This window comes from Homo sapiens, chromosome 13, assembly GCF_000001405.40.
Source record: "Homo sapiens chromosome 13, GRCh38.p14 Primary Assembly".
Taxonomy (NCBI): Eukaryota; Metazoa; Chordata; class Mammalia; order Primates; family Hominidae; genus Homo; species Homo sapiens.
In genome coordinates this window covers 114,014,051-114,035,249 of record NC_000013.11, presented here as the reverse complement: position 1 = coordinate 114,035,249, position 21,199 = coordinate 114,014,051, and the positions used below count along the sequence as shown (strand labels likewise).

Genomic DNA, 21,199 nt, shown 5'->3' with positions numbered 1-21,199 from the left:
TTTTGCTCTTAGTAGCCTGGTTTGAGGTTTATTAATTTTATTGATCTCTCAAGGAATTTGCCGTTGGCTTTGATTTTTACCTATTGGTTTCCGATCTGACTTCTGTTTTCTGTTCTTGGGCTCTGGGTTTAGTTTACTCATTTTTCTCAGTCTCCCAGCTCTAAGCTCAGGTCAGCGTTCAGATCTCCCTTCTGCTCTAAGCTCAGGTCAGCGTTCAGATCTCCCTTCTGCTCTAAGCTCAGGTCAGCGTTCAGCTCTCCCTTCTGCTCTAAGCTCAGGTCAGCGTTCAGATCTCCCTTCTGCTCTAAGCTCAGGTCAGCGTTCAGATCTCCCTTCTGCTCTAAGCTCAGGTCAGCGTTCAGATCTCCCTTCTGCTCTAGTCTGTGTGGCCGGCACTCCAGATTCCCCTCCACCCCGAGCACGGCTCCCGCTTCATCCCACTGATTTTGATGAGTAACACTTTCATTTCTGTTTATTCCGGAACATTTTAAAATTTGTCTTGCGTTCTCTGATCTGTGTGTTATTTAGAACTGTGTTGTTTAACCTCTAAATGTCTGGGATTCTCCAGCCTGCGCCAGCACCTGCAGATTTACTCATTGGCTTTTCTGGCAGGAGAAAGGGCCTTCCAGGGGTGGGTTTTGTTTGTTCCCACTCCTGAATCAGCAGAAGACGAAAGCACACAAGTCAGCTGGTCAGGAGGGATTCATGCTGCAGGAACAGGAGCAGCCTCAGGACCTGATGGTGACCAGCCAGGTGCCCCTGGACCCGGCCAGGAGCCGGGAGAGCACACGGGGGCCGCACAGCCTGCTGCCAGGGGCCGGGAGAGCACACGGGGGCCACACAGCCTGCTGCTGGGGACCAGGACCCCCCACATGCAGTCGTGACTCTTCCTGAAGCTCCCGAATGTGAATAGAGCTACCTCCGTCTGCACAGCCTTGCAAATCTGAACGCTTCTGTCCTGAGAGAGTTTGCGCCCGGCATTTGAGAACGGGGATGAAGCAGTGGGGATTCTTGGTTATTCTTGGGTCAGGCACTTTCTCCTGTCTTTGGTGGTCAGGCCACTCCTTTAGCCCGTGGATAGCCACGGATAGCAGGCCCAGTGCCCGGCTGGTGTTCAGGGCACTCCTTTAGCCCGTGGATAGCCACGGATAGCAGGCCCACTGCCCGGCTGGTGTTCAGGGCACTCCTTTAGCCCATGGATAGCCACGGATAGCAGGCCCGCTGCCAGGCGGTGAGGACCACAGGCGATACTCCGCTCAGCCCTGAGCTCTGATGGGTGTGGGAAGAGGAGCTGTGGTCTTGGTGGGGTCTTTGTTGTCATTTTAGGCACCTGTTTTCCCCGCCCACAGTGCTGGCGTGGGGTTCATGCCCACCTTCCCGGCCCAACATCCTTGTGGCCCCTCAGGACCTGCTCTGGGGCTGCAGCCACAGGGCGGGAAGGCCACACCCAACCTCCAGACCCCAGAGTCTCAGGACAGCAGCGGAGGCCCCACCTCCCACACCTGCCTGGGCAGCACAGACCCAGTTCCATTCCCCCTGTGAGCGCTGGGTCAAGTGTGGGGGTGCCGTGGGGCGTGGTGTCAGTGTGGGGGTGCCGTGGAACGTGGTGTCAAGTGTGGGGGTTCCGTGGGGCGTGGTGTCAAGTGTGGGGGTGCCGTGGAACGTGGTATGAAGTGTGGGGTGCCGTGGAACGTGGTGTCAGTGCGGGGGTGCCGTGGGGCGTGGTGTCAGTGTGGGGGTGCCGTGGGGCGTGGTGTCAGTGTGGGGGTGCCGTGGGGCGTGGTGTCAGTGTGGGGGTGCCGTGGGGCGTGGTGTCAGTGTGGGGGTGCCGTGGAACATGGTATGAAGTGTGGGGGTGCCATGGAACGTGGTGTCAAGTGTAGGGGTGCTGTGGGGTGTGGTGTCAGTGTGGGGGTGCCGTGGAACGTGGTATCAAGTGTGGGGGTGCCGTGGGGCGTGTTGTCAGTGTGGGGGTGCCATGGAACGTGGTGTCAAGTGTGGGGGTGCCGTGGAACGTGGTGTCAAGTGTGGGGGTGCTGTGGGGCGTGGTGTCAGTGTGGGGGTGCCGTGGGGCGTGGTGTCAGTGTGGGGGTGCCGTGGGGTGTGGTGTCAGTGCGGGGGTTCCGTGGAACGTGGTGTCAAGTGTGGGGGTGCTGTGGGGCATGGTATCAAGTGTGGGGGTGCTGTGGGGTGTGGTGTCAGTGTGGGGGTGCCGTGGAACGTGGTATCAAGTGTGGGGGTGCCGTGGAACATGGTATCAAGTGTGGGGGTGCTTTGGGGTGTGGTGTCAGTGTGGGGGTGCCGTGGAACGTGGTGTCAAGTGTGGGGGTGCTGTGGGGCATGGTATCAAGTGTGGGGGTGCTGTGGGGTGTGGTGTCAGTGTGGGGGTGCCGTGGAACGTGGTATCAAGTGTGGGGGTGCCGTGGGGCGTGGTGTCAGTGTGGGGGTGCCGTGGGGCGTGGTGTCAGTGTGGGGGTGCCGTGGGGCGTGGTGTCAGTGTGGGGGTGCCATGGAACGTGGTGTCAAGTGTAGGGGTGCCGTGGGACGTGTTGTCAGTGTGGGGGTGCCGTGGAACGTGGTGCCAAGTGTGGGGGTGCCGTGGGGCATAGTATCAAGTGTGGGGGTGCCGTGGGGCTGCACCGACGCGGTGTCAAGTGAGGGCTGAAGGGCTTTATGTTCCACTCCCTGACCAGGGGCTTCGGGGTGTGCACCCTGGCAGGGCAGGCTGCGCCCACGACCCAGGCACCCCGAGGGTTCACAGGCAAGGGTTTCAGAAGGTGGGGAGGCTGAGGTTGTGGCAAAGTCATAAATCAGTACATGGAGGCCGTATGTCAGTTTGACCTGAGAAGGCAGACATCACGACGTGTGGCCCATGGGTCGGATATAGAGCGTTTTTGATTTGTGATTGGTTAAGGAGGAGAAGCTTTGTCCAAACAATTGAGATCAGCAGAAAAGAATGTTGGCTCTGGCCCACAGGCATGACCCCTCCTGGCCCCTGAGGAAGAAATTCAGAATAGAGCCGGGTTCAGGGTTCGGGCCTGTGATCCCCCCTGCATTTGTGGTCTGTGTTGGTAGATCTGTTTGGTGAGGGTCTCGGTTTTTGAAAAACAATTTAGGGACATATGTTAAGATGCTATTTTTAACTTGTATAGGGAATAAATATCTCCTGACTAATTTTTTGGCTATTATTTTATTATTTATTTTGCTTGTTAGGTGATTTACCACTCAAGGCTGGCTAGGTGTCTGATATATTTTTGAAGGAACTCGAAGGTTTTTTAATCATTTAGGTGGGTGGGGCCTAAGCGAGGTCCCTGCTCCATCCGAGGTTCTGCACCAGGCCACGTGCTGCAGGGCTGCTGTCGGTTCTGCCGTCCACGTCTTAGCGCCAGGCATTCTGCCCGTCTGTCCCACCCTCCCACAGGCAGGGACAAGCCCTGGGGAACACGCCTTGGCCTTCCCGGAGCCTCAGGAGCTAGAGCTAAGGGCCGGGCCAGGCAGAGCCCCTGAAGCATGGATGAGTCTGTGTTTATCCCATCCATTCATTGCCATTCAGGCTGGAGCAAATACAGGGACAGCGGCACACACAGGTAGGCACACATAGCCGCACACACACACAGGTGGACACAGTCACACATACACACAGGCGGTGCACACACAGGCAGACATGCACACACAGTCGCATGTACAGACAGGCGGACAAACACACATACACAGGTGGACACACAGCCACGCGCACAGACAGGCAGACACAGTCGCGCACACACACAGAAGGACATGCACACAGCCACACACTACAGACAGGTAGACACACACAGAGTTGCATGCACATACAGGCAGATGCACACACAGCTGCTTGCACACAGACAGACATGCACACATAGTCGCACACACACACAGAAGGACACACACAGCCAAACACACAGACAGGCAGATGCACATACAGACAGGCAGACACCGACAGGCAGACACACACAGTTTCATGCAAACACAGGCAGACACACAGCCGTGTGCACACAGACGGACACGCACACACAATCGCACGCCCACACAGACACATAGCCACATGCACAGACAGGCAGACACACACAGCTGCATGCACACACAGGCGAACATGCACACAGGTGGACACATACAAGCAGATACACACAATCACATGCACACACAGGTAGACACACAGTCGCATGCACACAGGTGGACACAGCCACACACAGATGGACACACAGTTGCACGCACACAGGCAGACACACAGCCGCACACACAGGCGGACACACAGCTACACAGGCAGACACGCACACAGCAGCACAGATGGACACACATAGTCGCATGCATGCATAGGCAGACACACATAGACACACACAGTTGCACGCACACAGGTAGACACACAGCCGCACACACAGGAGGACACACAGCTGCACACACACAGCCAGATGCACAGACACAGGCGGACACACATACAGGTGGACATGCACACACAGCAGCATGCTCACATACACAGCTGCACACACAAACCGCACGCACACAGGCAGACACACAGTTGTACGCACAGACAGGTGGACACACACCCACAGCCGTGCACACAGACAGACAGGTGGATGGACACAGCAGCACACACAGACAGACTGATCTAGAGAGACAGGTGGACCCGCAGGGCAGCCTTGCTGTCTGCTCTGCTAGAAGCCCCCGTGAGCCTTGCTGTCTGTGTGAGTCTTGCCCTCTGTGTGAGTCTTGCTCTCTGTGTGAGTCTTGCCCTCTGTGTGAGTCTTGCCCTCTGTGTGAGCCTTGCCCTCTGTGTGAGCCTTGCCCTCTGTGTGAGCCTTGCCCTCTGTGTGAGTCTTGCTCTCTGCGTGAGTCTTGCCTCCTGTGTGAGTCTTGCCCTCTGTGTGAGCCTTGCCCTCTGTGTGAGCTCTCCGAGGTTCCTGCGGGCCTCCATCCGGCCTCGCCCGAGGGGAGGTAAAGGCAGTGGCCCCTGCTTGGGAGACAGCTGTGCTTCCCCTCTGGTTTGTCCCGACGGACACACGAGCAGCCTGCAGCATCAGAGCCTTTGGGGGTCTGCTTCACTGAATGACCGTCTCCTACACGGTTGGACCCCTCACTTCTGAGGCAGCGACCTGCTCTCAGCAGAGCCAGGAGCCTGGGCAGCCACATGGGGCTGAGCAGTCAGGCAAGCAGCTCTCCTGGAGAAAGGCCACAGCTGGGACCCTGCGTCCCGGGGGTGGAGTGGAGGGGCTGGACGTGCCCATTGGCCAGGGCAGGGCGGGGCCGCCTGCTCCCTTTGCCCTCTAGGCTTTCCCTGGGCGCGCGGCCCTAGTGGCCTGTGGGAGCAGCGCCACAGCCTCTGACACCCCATCCTTGTGCCTTGCAGGGCAAAGTGCACCTGGAGCTGCGGCTGAGCGAGGTCATCACAGACACTGGGGTCGTCTGCCACAAGCTCGCCACACGGTAAGACACGTCCTCACTAGAGACCGAGCGCACAGCGAGTGGCATGTCTGGCTCCCGAGGAGCACACAGGGGTTTTCACACCAACGCACAAGAATTTCCAGAGCCGGTGGCTGCCCAGGATGACACTGTTTAGAGGTCCTGGCCCACCAGGATGATGCTGTTTTAGGGGTCCTGGCCCACCAGGATGACGCCATTTTAGAGGTCCTGGCCCCCAGGATGACGCCGTTTTAGAGGTCCTGGCCCACCAGGATGATGCTGTTTTAGAGGTCCTGGCCCCCAGGATGACGCCGTTTTAGAGGTCCTGGCCCCCAGGATGACGCCGTTTTAGAGGTCCTGGCCCCCAGGATGACGCCGTTTTAGAGGTCCTGGCCCCCAGGATGATGCCGTTTTAGAGGTCCTGGCCCCCAGGATGACGTCGTTTTAGAGGTCCTGGCCCCAGGATGATGCCGTTTTAGAGGTCCTGGCCCCAGGATGATGCCGTTTTAGAGGTCCTGGCCCCCAGGATGATGCCGTTTTAGAGGTCCTGGCCCCAGGATGATGCCGTTTTAGAGGTCCTGGCCCCAGGATGATGCCGTTTTAGAGGTCCTGGCCCCCAGGATGACGCCGTTTTAGAGGTCCTGGCCCACCAGGATGAAGCTGTTTTAGAGGTCCTGGCCCCCAGGATGACGTCGTTTTAGAGGTCCTGGCCCCAGGATGATGCCGTTTTAGAGGTCCTGGCCCCCAGGATGATGCCGTTTTAGAGGTCCTGGCCCCAGGATGATGCCGTTTTAGAGGTCCTGGCCTCCAGGATGATGCCGTTTTAGAGGTCCTGGCCCCAGGATGATGCCGTTTTAGAGGTCCTGGCCCCAGGATGATGCCGTTTTAGAGGTCCTGGCCCCAGGATGATGCCGTTTTAGAGGTCCTGGCCCCAGGATGACACTGTTTTAGAGGTCCTGGCCCCAGGATGATGCCGTTTTAGAGGTCCTGGCCCCCAGGATGATGCCGTTTTAGAGGTCCTGGCCCCAGGATGACGCCGTTTTAGAGGTCCTGGCCCCAGGATGACACTGTTTTAGAGGTCCTGGCCCCAGGATGATGCCGTTTTAGAGGTCCTGGCCCCAGGATGATGCCGTTTTAGAGGTCCTGGCCCCAGGATGACACTGTTTTAGAGGTCCTGGCCCCAGGATGATGCTGTTTTAGAGGTCCTGGCCCCCAGGATGATGCCGTTTTAGAGGTTGCCCCAGGATGATGCTGTTTTAGAAGTTCTGGCCCCCTTCCAGGATGACGCTGTTTTAGAGGTTCTGGGCCCCCAGGATGACGCTGTTTTAGAGGTCCTGGCTCCCAGATGACACTGTTTTAGGGGTCCTGGCTCCCAGATGACGCTGTTTTAGGGGTCCTGGCCCCCAGGATGATGCTGTTTTAGAGGTCTTAGCTCCCAGATGATGCTGTTTTAGGGGCCCTGGCCCCCAGGATGACACTGTTTTAGGGGTCCTGGCCCCCAGGATGACGCTGTTTTAGAGATCCTGGCTCCCAGATGACACTGTTTTAGGGGTCCTGGCTCCCAGATGATGCTGTTTTAGGGGTCCTGGCCCCCAGGATGACACTGTTTTAGGGGTCCTGCCCCCCGCCCCCCCGATGACGCTGCTTTAGATGTGCTGTCACACACTGCTGGCGTCCACGCTAAAGCACATGCTCACCTTAGAGGTGTTGTTTTGGGCTTTTGTGAATGGCCAGCGTGATTCAGCGTCACACCGAGGCAGAATGGCTGGTGTGGCCCTCCCTGCCTTCCGGTGAGGAAACCTCATCTCACAGCTTGAACTCAGGCCTCCTGCCTGACCCAGAGCTGTCTCGCCATTCGCCCAGGTGTCTGCGCTCCCTCCTGACGCCGCCTCTGCTTCTCTCCTCAGCATCGTCGAGTGCCAGGGCCTCCCCATCGTGAATGGGCAATGTGACCCCTACGCCACCGTGACGCTGGCAGGACCCTTCAGGCAAGTTGCCTCACGCTTCAGGTTTCTGTTCTGGTCCTGGGGGGCTAGGGTCCAGCTCTGAAATCACGAGACCACTGCCTCATTTGGGAGGAGTCAGGAGGTTGCGCTTTGAGGTAGAATGTGAATTTTTACTTCCTTTTGTTTTCTTTATTGCTCCAAAATTGCTTTGTAGAAAATGAAGCCTTCATGCTCTTCACGCTGGGTATTTTTGGCTGAGTAAAGGTTCCTGATTTGCATACCATCTGGAGTTGGAGACCAGCAGAAATATTTATAAAATAAATAAAGCCAATAAGTGACTTGTGCATTTGAGAGCTCGGTTTTACCACTGAGAGACTTGGAATCAGCAGTGTTGTTTTAATCCCAATCCTTTCTCACTTGATAACAGATCAGAAGCAAAGAAGACGAAAGTGAAGAGGAAGACCAACAATCCCCAGTTCGATGAAGTGTTTTATTTTGAGGTTGGTATCTTCATGGGTCAACGTTAAGTGGAAACTCTGCACCCGAGACACGTTGGCAGAAAGTCTGGATCCAGAATGATCTCAGTCTCTTCCCTCTGGAAGTTCCTTCCGGAGAGGAGCGAGCCCCGCCAGCCGGCCCTGGGTTCCTTCCGGAGAGGAGCGAGCCCCGCCGGCCGGCCCTGGGTTCCTTCCGGAGAGGAGCGAGCCCAGCCAGCCAGCCCTGGGGATTGGACCCGTGGCCACAGGACCTTCCCTCCTCTCCCAAGAGAGAAAGGTCATTCGTTGTCTCCCGAACTGGCCCAGATTTGAGTTAAAAGATGACAGATTAATGCTTTCCAAATTACCAGGACCTTGGGGGTTTTTGTTTTTTTGGCTGCTCTGCCCAAGCATCCCTGAGAGGCGGAAGGCTTGTTCCAGTGGAAATAGGCAGGGTTTTGAAACAAAGGGGAAAGGATTCAGACACAGAGATCCTCTCAGAACATGAAGCACCAAAATCCATGAAAAGGAGGGTGCAAGGGTGCACCTGGTGGAATGTGACCCCGTTTGGGATGGCTGCATCTCGTGGAGTGAGGACCTGCCATGTGGCCGGTGCGGTTTGGGGACAGCTGTGTGCAGGGCCTTTAGGCAGATGTTCTTCCCATCCACAAACATTCCGGTGCACAGGCCCTGGAGATGTGAGGATGGATGAGGCCTCTGTGGCAAGAGCATGGCCAGTCACATCTGAGGGGTCGGGCGGGCTCCCCTGAGCCATGATGGCTGAGTGGGGCTCGATGCATGCAGCTCTCAGGGGACCGTAGGAGAGTGGACCTACCGGTCAGTGGGTCCTGACTGAGTAGGACCCACTGGCACTGCTGAGGCTCGAAAGGGCCCCACAGGCAGAGGTGGGAACTTGGTGTCCAAAGCCAGGGCCAGGCTTTCAGGGCCACTGTGAGGAGGGCTTTAGAGGTGGAATCTGTTCTCTGTCTCAAACGGAAGCCTCACTTATAGACAGGCGGAGAAGATGGTTTTGCCAGAGCGAGGGAAGGCAGGGAGCTGCCAGGCTCCCAGGGGGAGGGTGGGCCCTGTTGGAGGTGCAGGAGGCATGCAGCATGGACCGAGTTCCAGGTGGCAGCTCCCCCCGCCTCGGCTGCTGGCTTGGCTGCCACACACAGAGCTGTCATACACACAGTGGGGTAGAGCTCGCCCACTGCCCGGCCACACACGGGTGCTCATCACGCTTGCAGTGTTCTCATGCTGTTTCTACTGTGTGCACTCCTGTTTCACTCTGTAAAGACGTGGGTCTCAGCCTACAGGAGCAATTTAGTGACCACAGACAGTCTGAAAACCATGGTCTGCGTCACCACCTGTGGGGCTCCAGGGAAGGCCCGGACCTCGCTGACCGCTGCTGTGTGGGACGCGCGGGGCCCTGCTCTTTGGGCTCTGTGACCTTTCACTCCGTCTCCTCCCCTTCCTTAGCAGACCTCTTTCACCAGGACTCTGTCTCTTTCGGCTTCAGCTGCTTCTGACCCAGCTGGAGGCTGAGCCCCGGGGAGGGAGCACATCCCCCGCGGGCTGTGGTCAGACAGCCACCTACTGGGAGCAGACCCAGGAAAACAGATGTTCCGTTTCTATGGGAAGCAGCGTCTGTACCATTTTCTTCCAGGATAACAACTAGACACATTAAGACCCTTTAACTCTCTAAATGAGATTAAATAATCTCATAAATTTGGTAGGAGCTGCCTTCATTCACTCAACACGTGTCAGGTGCCAGCACCGTGCTGGTGATCAGCTGGTGATAAGATGTGGCAGAAAACAGAGGAGTCCAAGGCCACCACACCAGGCCAGCATGGGAGGGATGCAAACAGACAAGCCCCTACAATAGCTCCCGACCTGCCCTGCAGAGAGGGCGTGAGGCAGGGGCACTGGGGGCTTCCTGGAGGAGGCATTGCCTGACCTGCCCTGCAGAGAGGGCATGAGGCAGGGGCACTGGGGGCTTCCTGGAGGAGGCATTGCCTGACCTGAGTTTTGTGAGATGGGGAAGTTGGGGGGAAGCAAATTTTTGGACAGTGGTGTGTAGGTCAGGAAGGAGGAGGCGTCAGCAGCCCTCAACCCGAAGCAGAGAACTGCCCCTGCGTGATCTTCACCTCAGTTTACCAATCAGGAAGTGCAAGCTCAGAGGTTAGGCAGTTTTAGCAACATGATTTTGGTGTCAAGCCTTACATCAGAACTTCGAGCTGAGAGCTCCTGAGCCAGCATCACTGCTGAGGCCCGGAGAAGGGGGGGCAGGGAGGGAGGCCGGGCAGGACGGAGCCCTTCTTGTAAACGCAGGTGACCTGGTGCACGGCTGATGGTGGTTAAATCGGAACTCCAGGTGATAACCACTGTCTCCTGGAGCCTGTGGGTCGGCCTCCTGCTCTGCTGCAAGGGCCCTGCTGGCTGGCGGGGGGCGGTCCCGGAGCCTCGACCCTTCACGCCTTCACTCCGTTTCTGTTCTAAGGAACCCACGGTGCGGAGGTGTCAGGAGGAAGGTAGCAGCGTCTTGACTTTCCACCGTCTGACCCTCCCTGGAGTGCTGGGGCCTGTTCGGGGCCGGCCAGGTTCAGGCTCCACAGACCTCACGCGTTTCACTTCCTGTTGGCAAATAGAGCCTTGAGGTGGGGCCACGGGAGGGCGGCGCTGGCTTCGTCTCCACGGCAGAGGGGACCCTCCCTCCCTCACGGGGTGGCAGGCCCAGAGCAGGCGCAGGTGACGGACATTTAGGTACCCAGAGCCCGGCACCCATCAGGAGCCACTGGGAGAGTCCGGCCGTGGCCGTGAACAGCCTTGGGGCAGGTCTCACCTGGGTCTGCCCCTCCAGGGGCGCCGTGAGTAGGAAATGCTGGCACTCAGGAAGCCAGGCCTGAATCCCGAATCCCGCCTGGCGCCTTCCTGGTTGTGGCCCTTGAGTGGTGTGTGGGTAAGCGCAGAGGGTAGGGCAGCCCGGGGCCTAGGTCCGCATATACCCCCGCCTGGTGGCACCGCGGTCTCAGCGCTTTCTCTCTCGTCTGACTCCAGGTGACCCGGCCCTGTAGCTACAGCAAGAAGTCCCACTTTGACTTTGAGGAGGAAGACGTGGACAAGCTCGAAATCAGGTGAGAAAACCAGGCTCCGCGTCCCCAACTTGGCAGTTTTCACCCAAACTCCTCAGCTCTTTTGTTCTTTGTTACTAAATATAGGGTCATAGATAGAAATGAATTTCCATTTTCTTGGTAATTTTCACAACAGGATGTTAGAAGTTGTAGTTGAAGTGACAGCCTGTGGGTGGTGTTAGGGCTCACCTTGCAATACCTGCGAAGAGGCGAAAGCCAGAGGTCCGCATCCCTCTGGCCGTAAGGCTTCATCCACCTGGAGTGACGGGGGCTGCAGCCGTTCTTAAGGTCTTGTTCTAAGCCCTCCGCCTTCCATGGGTTCAGGCCTCACTCAGAGGTCGCAGGGCCTGGCGGGTCAGCACGACGCCTGGCCCTGACCGAGCAGGACCCACTGGCACTGCTGAAACTCTCGGCTGGGTGGCCTCTGTGGAGACCCTGTCCCCTTTGACTCGAGTGAAACACTCTCACCTGGCGTCCTGGGTTCATGTTTCCTGTGTATGGTCATAGAAGCTGCATCTTCAGCCTTTGCCCATGGAGCCCCCACCGCCCTTTCCTGGCTCCTCAACGCCTCCCACGGGAAACGGGGAAATCGCTTGTGGGTTCACGCAGGTCAGGACGCGATCTCAGGCCCAGGATTTAGAGAGCCCCACGATCCCGCTGACTCAGAGTTCTGGGGAGGGCAGGCGTCAGAATGTGCCCTTCACAAACCCCGGCGGGTTCCCTCCTCCCAGTGAAAATAAGCTGGATTCCTGTTTATTTTTGAACGTAGCCTCTGTTCCTTCTGTACCAACGAATGCCTCCATTCCCTATGAAGAGGCAGATGAGCCTCCCCTGAAGCCCCCGAATCTTCCCATGCTGGACAGAGAAGGAAGGAAACGGCTCCCTCCTGACCCTCCCCAGCCGGCCCTGAGACCCCGAGCCTAGGATGCCCCCGAGCCTGGGATGCCCCCGAGCCTGGGATGTTCCCTGAGCCTGGGATGCCCCCAAGCCTGGGATGTTCCCCGAGCCTGGGATGTTCCCCGAGCCTGGGATGTCCCCGAGCCTGGGATGTCCCTGAGCCTGGGATGCACCTGCTTTCTTTAGGTCATTTTGGAGAATGTGCTGGCCATCAAATCCCTGGTCACCCTCCCTCCCAGGGGCTAACACTGCCCTGGGGGGACCCTTAATGGGACACGTGGAGCCGGTGCGTGGCTCAGGCCCTACGGCTGCTGGGAGGCGTGGTTTTGTGGTTGAGAACTGTAGGAATGTCCCTGATGTTATCGGTCAGATCCGTCCCCCATAGTTGTCTCCATCCTGAACCATAGAATGTCCCTGACGTGGTCAGTCAGATCCACCTCCTGAGGGGTCAGGGTCCTGAACCATAGAATGTCCCTGACGTGGTCGGTCAGATCTGCCTCCCCAGGGACTCACACCAGCCCCTTTTTCAAGAGAAGGAAGCGCCATTGTTGGTTTCTTTTTACACCAAGTTTTGAATTCAGGAGTGAAGTCCTAGTTATTAAATTTTTTAAAAGCACACAAAACATGTTTTAAATATTTCCCTTATTAAAGGCAAATGCGCCTGCCTGGCCACTCAGCACATTTTTTTAAAGTGTCCATGGGCAGATCAGCGGTCCCCTCATGTTCCTTCTGAAAGGAACGCGCTGTGGGTTCCTGTGCAGCCTGTCAGCCCTCCCCGGCCCAGATGCCAGTGCCTCTGTGGTGCCACTTCCCTGCAGGATTCGCAAGGGTAACAAAATCCCCAGCCTTCTGGAATCTTCTCCCTCCAGGGGGATGCCCCTGATGCCCACAGTGTGGTTAGGCCTGCCGAGTTTTAGCCCCCTGGGTAGGGCTGGCCACGTGTAACTGTGTGGTTTCAGGCCCGTGGGTAGGGCTGGCCACGCATGACTTCAGGTGTTTCAGGCCTATGAGTGGGTCCTGGCCATGAGGGACTGGGTTACCAGCCCTGTAGACTTGTTGCAGCCGGGGATGCTGTATGTCTGTCAGAATTTCACAGCCCCAGGTCTGAGGGGACACGTACCATCCCACACTAGGACAGAACATTAGTGGGAGCCGCTGCTGTGTTAGACATGAGCAGAAGCTTCACAATGCTGGGCCTGCGGTAGTCACGGAGATTCGTGGACCGTGCTGTGGTTTGTGGCCACAGTTCTCCCCCCGCTGTGGTGTGCATGGCCCCTGAATCCACTTTGTGCCCCTAGATCATGAGCAATCCATGGAGACAGGGTTCTACATTTGCCCGCCGTGCACAGACTGCTGGTGCTGGGCCTGTTGTGGGCAAAGGGGACAGATGGTGCTGGAGCTGAGAGTGGCAGCAGCCACATAGCTCCTGGGTGCACACAGCAACTCCTGGCTCCCTCCTGGCACAGAGCGACGCCTGGCTCCCTCCTGGCACAGAGCCTGGGGTCATGTAGCTCCTGGGTGCACGCAGCGACGCCCAGGCTCCCTCCTATGTAAGAGCCTGGGGTCATGTAGCTTCTGGGTGCACGCAGCGATGCCCAGGCTCCCTCCTATCTAAGAGCCTGGGTCTGAGTCCGGGCCCATGGCCTTCCGCCTTCCTCTGCCTGCCCATTACCACTGGGAGACACTCATCTTTATTCCAAAGCCACAGGCTGGTCTGACGTGTTTGAAACGTGCCCTGTGGGCTGAGCCTTGATGGAGACTCTGGGAGGCGCTGCAGGCTCCATTCTGCTCCTGGGGGAACAAAGCGTGGCCTGTCATCTTTGCTCCACACGGGCTGCCCGCCGTCAGCTAGAGCTGTCCTGATGCTGTTTTTCAGAGTTGACCTCTGGAATGCCAGTAACCTGAAGTTTGGAGATGAATTCCTGGGAGAACTAAGGATCCCGTTGAAAGTCCTGCGGCAGTCCAGCTCCTACGAGGCGTGGTAAGATGATGTTGCACCTGCAGACTTCCGCATCTCTGAGAGCCACAAAAACACGTGCTGCCTCTGAGTGGAAAGGCACAGAGGCCACATGTGCTGGTCCTCGGCTGTGCCCAGCACCCACCTGCTCTTACTTTGCATGTAGCTCTGACGAGCTCTGGCTTGATGAGTTTCTGCCCCACAGCAGGTGAGAAATGGCAGGTGAGGAGAGGCAGCAGGGATCACACTGAGCAGGGACTCACAATGGCTGGCACCTCAAAACAAGACAGGGAACGTGGGTGAAAGCGGCCCTAAGCCACGAGCAGCTCACGGGGTCTGATCCTGGGTGAAAGTGGGACCCTGAGCCGCGAGCAGCTCGCAGGGTCTGATCCTGGGCGAAAGTGGGACCCTGAGCTGTGAGCAGCTCGTGGGGTCTGATCCTGGGTGAAAGCGGGGCCCTGAGCCGCGAGCAGCTCGTGAGGTCTGACACCAGTAGGGGAGGGCATCAGCAGCCGGTGCAGGAGCCCAGAATGCGCACACAGCAGGGCTGCGCCGCGGCTGCGCTCCGGGTCTTGTTCTGGGCCCTCGGCAGCACCTCCTGTTGAGGGCGCATTACAGGGTTCTCTACTCCCCTCTGCACGTCTAGACCTCAGTGGTCGGCTCTGACCCAGAACCCACCCCAGGACATGTTGTGTGTTGCTGCCTCCTGCCTTTCTTTCCTGTTGTCTCCAGGTGCTTGGTGTTTTGGTGGAAGGAACAGGCCATTGTTTCATTTTATCTCCAGTTCATGTGTGTCCCTTAGCGACAGGCAGCTCCTGAGAGGGCCCGGAGTCACGGGAAGCGTGCACTCCCAGGCGTGGACTGTGTGCCGGGGCCTCGCACCCCATGTGTCCCTCTGCCATGTGTGAGGGCAGGTTTCCATCCCAGAAACCGTGAAACACGCGTGTCTTTTGATTCTACGAAGACGGCACGGGCACAGGCCCCCTGAGCTGAGTTAGGCTTCCTCCTATGCTGAATGAATCCCTGGCCCTGGTAGCCAAGGCAGCCACCACATACCCCAGAGAGCCCCAGGGTGCTAATGCCTCGCACACAGGCTCTACCTACCTGGGGCGATGGGGGGCGGCTAATGCCTCAGACACAGGCTCCACCCACCTGACCGGGGTTGCTAATGCCTCGGACACAGGCTCCACCCACCTGACAGGGCTGCTAATGCCTCGGACACAGGCTCCACCCACCTGGCGGGGGCTAATGCCTCGGACACAGGCTCCACCCACCTGACAGGGCTGCTAATGCCTCGGACACAGGCTCCACCCACCTGAGGGGGGCTAATGCCTCGGACACAGGCTCCACCCACCTGAGGGGGGCTAATGCCTCGGACACAGGCTCCACCCACCTGACAGGGCTGCTAATGCCTCGGACACAGGCTCCACCCACCTGGCGGGGGCTAATGCCTCGGACACAGGCTCCACCCACCTGGCGGGGGCTAATGCCTCGGACACAGGCTCCACCCACCTGACAGGGCTGCTAATGCCTCGGACACAGGCTCCACCCACCTGAGGGGGGCTAATGCCTCGGACACAGGCTCCACCCACCTGACAGGGCTGCTAATGCCTCGGACACAGGCTCCACCCACCTGAGGGGGGCTAATGCCTCGGACACAGGCTCCACCCACCTGACGGGGGCGCCAATGTCTCAGACACAGGCTCCACCCACCTGGCGGGGGCTAATGCCTCAGGCACAGGCTCTATCCATCTGAGGGGGGATCTAATGCCTCGGACACAGGCTCCACCTACCTGACAGGGGTGCTAATGTCTCGGACACGGGCTCCACCAACCTGACCGGGCTGCTAATGCTGCAGACAGGCTCCACCCACCTGACGGGGGCTAATGCCTTGGATACAGGCTCCACCCACCTGATGGGGGCGGGGCCTCGGACACAGGCTCCACCCACCTGAGAGCTTAGACTGCCTGGCCCACAAATGAGAGCAGAAGAGGGCTCCTGGGTGACTGCGTGGGGTAGAACCAAAGATGGAAGAATGTCCGGGCAGAAAACGTCTCTTACAATGACCAGGTGCCCAGGTGGCCTGCCAGGCTCACTAGCCCAAGGCCCCCACCCCGTGACATCGGGAGCCACGGCACACTTTGGTTGAGATAATTTTCATTTCCACCTGCTGCTGACACTGCTGGGTGTGGGTCTTAGGGCGGGTCACTGACCACTTCTGTGCCGGTTCCCGGAAACCCGTTCCTGCCACGTTCCACCCCCATCCCCCTCCGCGTTTCCCCCCTTGACTCCTGCGCCTTTGGCTCCAACACTTGCCTCCTGGGGATCCCCGGTGACCAGCCCTGCTGGGGGTCTTCGGTGGGGAGTCCCCAGGGGCTGCACTCTGAGGGGTCCTACAGGATCACCCTCCTGACCAGTCGACCTCAAGCAGGCAGCTGGGCTTCCCTGAGAGCTGCTCCTTGGCAGATGCAGCCTCATGCCTCCCCTCCATGTGTCCCTCCCACCCAGGTACTTCCTCCAGCCCCGGGACAATGGTAGCAAGAGCCTAAAGCCAGACGACCTGGGCTCCCTGCGGCTGAACGTGGTATACACGGAAGACCACGTGTTTTCTTCTGACTATTACAGCCCTCTGCGGGACCTGCTGTTGAAGTCTGCGGATGTGGAGGTGCTTGTCCACGCCGTGGCCTGTGGGTGTGGGCAGGAGGTGCCACCTGCCTGGGGCCCCACCCTACACCCGGGCCCACCCCAGAGGGCACCTTCTCCCTGAGGGGGCCTTTCCCACGCCTCCCAGCCTGGCCTGTTTCCCGTCCAGATGCCTGGACCCCTTTGCTGGGGGCACTGGTCCGTCGACAGTTAGAGCCGTGGGAGCCTGGTGATGCTAAGGACTCTCCGGGTTGTTCGAGGGGGACCCCATCATCAGAGTCCCTCTACCGGCTCAGGGGCCCTAGAGCTGGCTGCATGGGGGGGTCGCTAGAAGGAGGTGCAGATGCCCCTCCAAGGGTCCAGCCAAGCAGCAGCAAATGGGAAGTTTGGTGTTTTTGTGAATGTGTGTGTTTCTGTCTCAGCAAAGAGCCGTATCTATTGTGGCTGGAAGTGAGACCCCAGCCAAGGTGGGGACAGGCCTCTGGGGTTCCTGCACCCCGGGCCCTGGCACTGACCTCACCCCTCCCCGCAGCCCGTGTCAGCGTCTGCGGCCCACATCCTGGGCGAGGTTTGCCGGGAGAAGCAGGAGGCGGCCGTCCCGCTGGTGCGGCTCTTCCTACACTATGGCAGGGTGGTGCCATTCATCAGTGCCATCGCCAGCGCGGAGGTGAAGCGGACCCAGTGAGTGCCCACCCTGCCCCGGGGGAGAGCGGCCTGGACCCGCTACAGGGATGGCAAGGTCGTCGCCGAGAACCACGTGTCCTGGGGCAGGGCTTGAGGGAATTCAAGGGTCCCCAGAAACCATGTTGATTCAGGTTTTCTTTCACAGACCCAGTTAATGATTCTTTTTTTTTTTTTTGAAAGTCCCATTTGCCTTTGAAATCCCGGGTAGAGTGAGTGAGTGGGGAGGGGAAACGGCTCCTGGGGCTCGAGGACAGCTCAGGTCCCCTCCCTGGGGCACTTTGGGAGCCCACAAAAATGGAGCACAGCTTCCCTCAGGACCTGCCTAGTGCTGTTTCCGGACGCCCTGTTCTAGAAACATCTGGCTGCACCTGCAGCCACTGTAGCTGACAGGAGGGTTTGCTTCTCTGCTGGCCCTTGGATGCTGCCAGGGTCTGGTGCCCAACTCTCTGCACAGGCAGAGGCCGCAGAGGGGAGAGGGCGGGAGGGCGAAGGCCAGCCAGGCTCCTCCTGAGCTGGTGGCCACGCAGGTAGCCGAACGGTTCCCTCTGGCAGTGTTGACACAGGACGGTTCCATGGCCAGGGCCTCCAAGCACCTGGCCTGGTTGTGCTCCTTGTAAAATGTCAGGAAGCCGACTGATGGGCGTGCACTGACCTCACAGCCCACAGGCAGGTGCTCGGGGCCAGGCTCTGCTCCGTCTGCACTTCCGCGTCCCCAGGAGACAAACGCTGTCCCCATCGCCATTTCCCAGGGACCCCAACACCATCTTCCGAGGAAACTCACTGGCGTCCAAGTGCATCGACGAGACCATGAAGCTGGCGGGGATGCATTACCTGCATGTCACCCTGAAGCCCGCCATCGAGGAGGTGAGCACGGGGCCGAGAGTCCTCAGCCTCACGAGGCGTGGGGAGGATTTCCCCCAACAGAGGGCACTGCACTGGGATCCAGCCAGACCACGAGCTGGGCTTGAATGTCGGCCCCTCTGGCCTCGCCACGGGGATGCTGATTCATTCACTTTTATCAAGAGGATGTTCCCTGTGTACTCCAGAACCTTCCAAATTCTCCCAAATTAAAACTATACATAAGAAAATCCACCACTCCACAAAGGAGAACATGCAAGAAAAGCCTGGCTCTTCCCAGGGAGACCTTCTTTCTCCACATGTCCTGCAGTCCCCTGTGTTTGGGCCCTGGCTGCGTGGCATGTTTGAGCTGCACGCCCAGTCCTCACCCGACCCTCTGATGCCCGCACACCCACTCCTCACCTGACCCTCTGATGCCCGCCAGGCTGTGCCCCCCGTTTATGAGCGGGTTTGTAAACAGGTTCTTTGCAAATGTGAGAAAATTGAACATAGCATTCTGGTTTGCTCTGTGGGCAAAATCATGGCAGCATTTTGAAGTAAAAATATTATTAAAGCCCTGTGAGGCCTAGTCCGTGTGGGCTGGTGCACATCACTCCTGAGAAAGCCCGATTCGTCTGATCGCGGGCGCACATCGCTCCCTGAGAGAGCCCGGCTCGTCTGATCGCGGCCATGGACTGGGCCCCGTGCCTAGTGTTTGCGCCTGACCTCTCACTTGTCCCTCCGCAGCCAGTGACACAGGCCCAGGGTTGCCCCCTTGCAGCTGAGGCTCGGGACGACACCACCCCACGGTGGCCCTGCAGTCCGGCCTCACCGTGCCCCTCCGTGCCAGTGGCCGGGTTCGGGGAGCTGTCGTGGCATTTTCTGGATGAGGCTCAGGGTCTACATCTCAGCCAGGCCTGAGACCCCTTCCACCCTCCCTGCCTGTGCCCCCAGAACCCACTCACAGAGCCCTGTCTTAAACCTCTCCCCAGATATGCCAGAGCCACAAACCCTGTGAAATCGACCCTGTGAAGTTGAAAGACGGAGAAAACCTTGAAAACAACATGGTAGGTTTTGTTCATGAACCAACCAAAGCCAGTCACCTGCTTGGGGTTTTTCAGCCGATGGCTGCCTGGAAGCTCTGACTCACCCCGTGACCCCGGTTGGGGTGGGAGCAGGACCAGGCGTGGGGATACCCGCCTCACCCGGCTGCAGTACGCTGGCTGCACTACTGGGAGGCCTCAGCCACCACCTTTGGCCTGGCCTGTGTGCCGGGCTCTGCGTCCCCTGGGGGGTCCCGGCCAGCTCTTCCTCCCCTGGAGTGATCCGGTCTGCATGCCCCAGCTCTGCCCCCCCGGAGGGTCTGCCCTGCACACCCTGCTCTGCCTCCCCTGGACAATCCTGACCAGCTCTGCCTCCGCCCCGGCTCCTCCTTCCCTTGGGCAATGGCTCCTGCCCCTCCCTTTTCCTAGGACAGGATGGCCTCCCTGCCTCCCCAGGCTGTCCCCAGAGCTGTGTACTGCGTTTTAAAACAGCAAAACTCCCTGATGTTGAACTTGCTCCAACATTTTAGTCACTTCACATGATACTTCTTGCAGAGCGTGCTGTTTCGTCATTTCTGTATGTAAATGACAGAGCTCTTTGCCTTGGGCAGGCACATTCTAGTGAACGTCCATTCCCCACTCAGTAAACGAGGTCGGGGCCGAGCCGGGGAGCCGACGTGGTGCCTGTGTAGTGATTTTCACGCGTGAATTGCCACAGCTCCCAGCACAGATTTCCAGGGAGTGGCTGTTCACACGTGTCTCACTGCCGCAGCTGCCCTGCGCCCGCCCTCAGCCCCTCCCCACGCGCCCCTCCCTGGGCGTGCCCTGGTGCTACACGCACCTGTGGGCAGCCTCGGGAGTGGGTCCCAGTGCCGTGTCCCGTTGCAGGAGAACCTACGGCAGTATGTGGACCGCGTCTTCCACGCCATCACTGAGTCTGGGGTGAGCTGCCCGACCGTCATGTGTGACATCTTCTTCTCCCTCCGGGAGGCGGCGGCCAAGCGCTTCCAGGGTGAGTGCCCTGAACACCCTCATGTTGCTGAGAAACTGCCATAGCGCTGTGCAGGGTGACTCCCACCCAGGCAGAACCCCCCGCAGCCCTGGCTAGACTAGAACTGCGGGGTCGTGAACCCCAGTTCCGATGCTGGATTTTTCCGGGGTTTGTGCCCGGGCCAGTGTTCCCTAGTTCACAACCGCAGTGGTCTCTGGGGGACCCCAGCCCTGGAGTTCACCTCCACAGTAGTCTCCAGGGGACCCCAGCCCTGGAGATCACCACCGCAGTGGTCTCTAGAGGGGCCCAGCCCTGGAGTTCACGACCACAGTGGTCTCTGGGGGGGCCGGGAAGGGTGGCCAGGCTTTGTCGGGGTGGAATGTGAATTTTCCTGATGTGGACCCCTGGGTTTTCCCAGTGGTTTCTTTTTGTGGCCGACCCTGGCAGGGCCCAGAGTGGTGTTGGGGGCTCTGCCTGCCCGTGTCTTCGAAGAGACAGGACCCCTGGGGGAGCTGCCCTTTCTTCAAACCCCCAAGCCGGAGATCCCCTAGGGACCTGGGCATCCAGCACCCAAACCCCACTTCTCAACCTTGCCGACCCTCAGGGAGGAGCTGGGTGCCTGCACCCACCCATCACCTGCGATACTCAAGACCCCGCCAGGACTCAGGCTATGTATGGGGCGCTGAGAGGCTCAGCGAGGGCCTTGCTGCCGGCTCCTCTCTTCCTTGCGTGTCCTGTGGCCTCGGGACAGCTGCAGACACCCCGGGGTGGCCATGGTCCTGCAGAGCCGTCCACGCTTCTGTGTCCCCAGGAGACAAACGCTGTCCCCACCCCTGATTCTCAGGACATCAGACAGTCAGACAGCGCCGGCCGAGGGGCCCAGGGTTCTGGGGGAGGCAGTTCCCAAGCACATCCCAGCCCCAGACCCACTTTGAACAAGGTGGAAGTGAAGAGATAAAACACATCCTCTCACCCAGATGAGCACAGACCACTGTGGAATGAGACACCAAAGGGGCTGCGCTGTGTGGTGGTGATGAGAGATGGAGAGAAACAGGGAGAGATGGAGAGAGAGGCAGAGACAGAAGGAGAGAGACAGAGAGAGACAAGGAGAGAGAGAGAGAGACAGGGAGAGACGGAGAGAGAGGCAGAGACAGACGGAGAGAGAGGCAGAGACAGACG

The 21,199-nt window shown here is 58.8% G+C and overlaps 1 protein-coding gene across 15 annotated transcripts in view, besides 2 other annotated features; it reads left to right on the top strand.

Moving 5' to 3' along the window:
- The window catches only part of RASA3 (RAS p21 protein activator 3), a 154,841-nt gene that overhangs the window by 97,374 nt on the left and 36,268 nt on the right, over positions 1-21,199 (top strand). For all 15 annotated transcript variants that reach the window (XM_047430157.1, NM_007368.4, NM_001320821.2 and 12 more), the window contains 10 exons: positions 5,363-5,439; positions 7,323-7,403; positions 7,789-7,861; positions 10,895-10,971; positions 13,742-13,846; positions 16,331-16,487; positions 16,998-17,146; positions 17,899-18,013; positions 18,979-19,053; positions 19,918-20,041. In XM_047430157.1, coding sequence (XP_047286113.1) covers positions 17,957-18,013; positions 18,979-19,053; positions 19,918-20,041 — 256 coding nt within the window. In that variant the 5' untranslated portion in view covers positions 5,363-5,439; positions 7,323-7,403; positions 7,789-7,861; ... (3 more) ...; positions 16,998-17,146; positions 17,899-17,956. The remainder of the gene's footprint in view (positions 1-5,362; positions 5,440-7,322; positions 7,404-7,788; positions 7,862-10,894; positions 10,972-13,741; positions 13,847-16,330; positions 16,488-16,997; positions 17,147-17,898; positions 18,014-18,978; positions 19,054-19,917; positions 20,042-21,199) is intronic.
- Positions 3,118-4,059: an enhancer, noted in NCBI's record as "H3K4me1 hESC enhancer chr13:114796667-114797608 (GRCh37/hg19 assembly coordinates)". NCBI's record gives its function as "activates a minimal SCP1, AML or CMV promoter by ChIP-STARR-seq in naive H9 embryonic stem cells {active_cell/tissue: H9 hESC(naive)}" and the evidence as "EXISTENCE:reporter gene assay evidence [ECO:0000049][PMID:30033119]".
- Positions 10,147-10,986: an enhancer, noted in NCBI's record as "H3K4me1 hESC enhancer chr13:114789740-114790579 (GRCh37/hg19 assembly coordinates)". NCBI's record gives its function as "activates a minimal SCP1, AML or CMV promoter by ChIP-STARR-seq in naive H9 embryonic stem cells {active_cell/tissue: H9 hESC(naive)}" and the evidence as "EXISTENCE:reporter gene assay evidence [ECO:0000049][PMID:30033119]".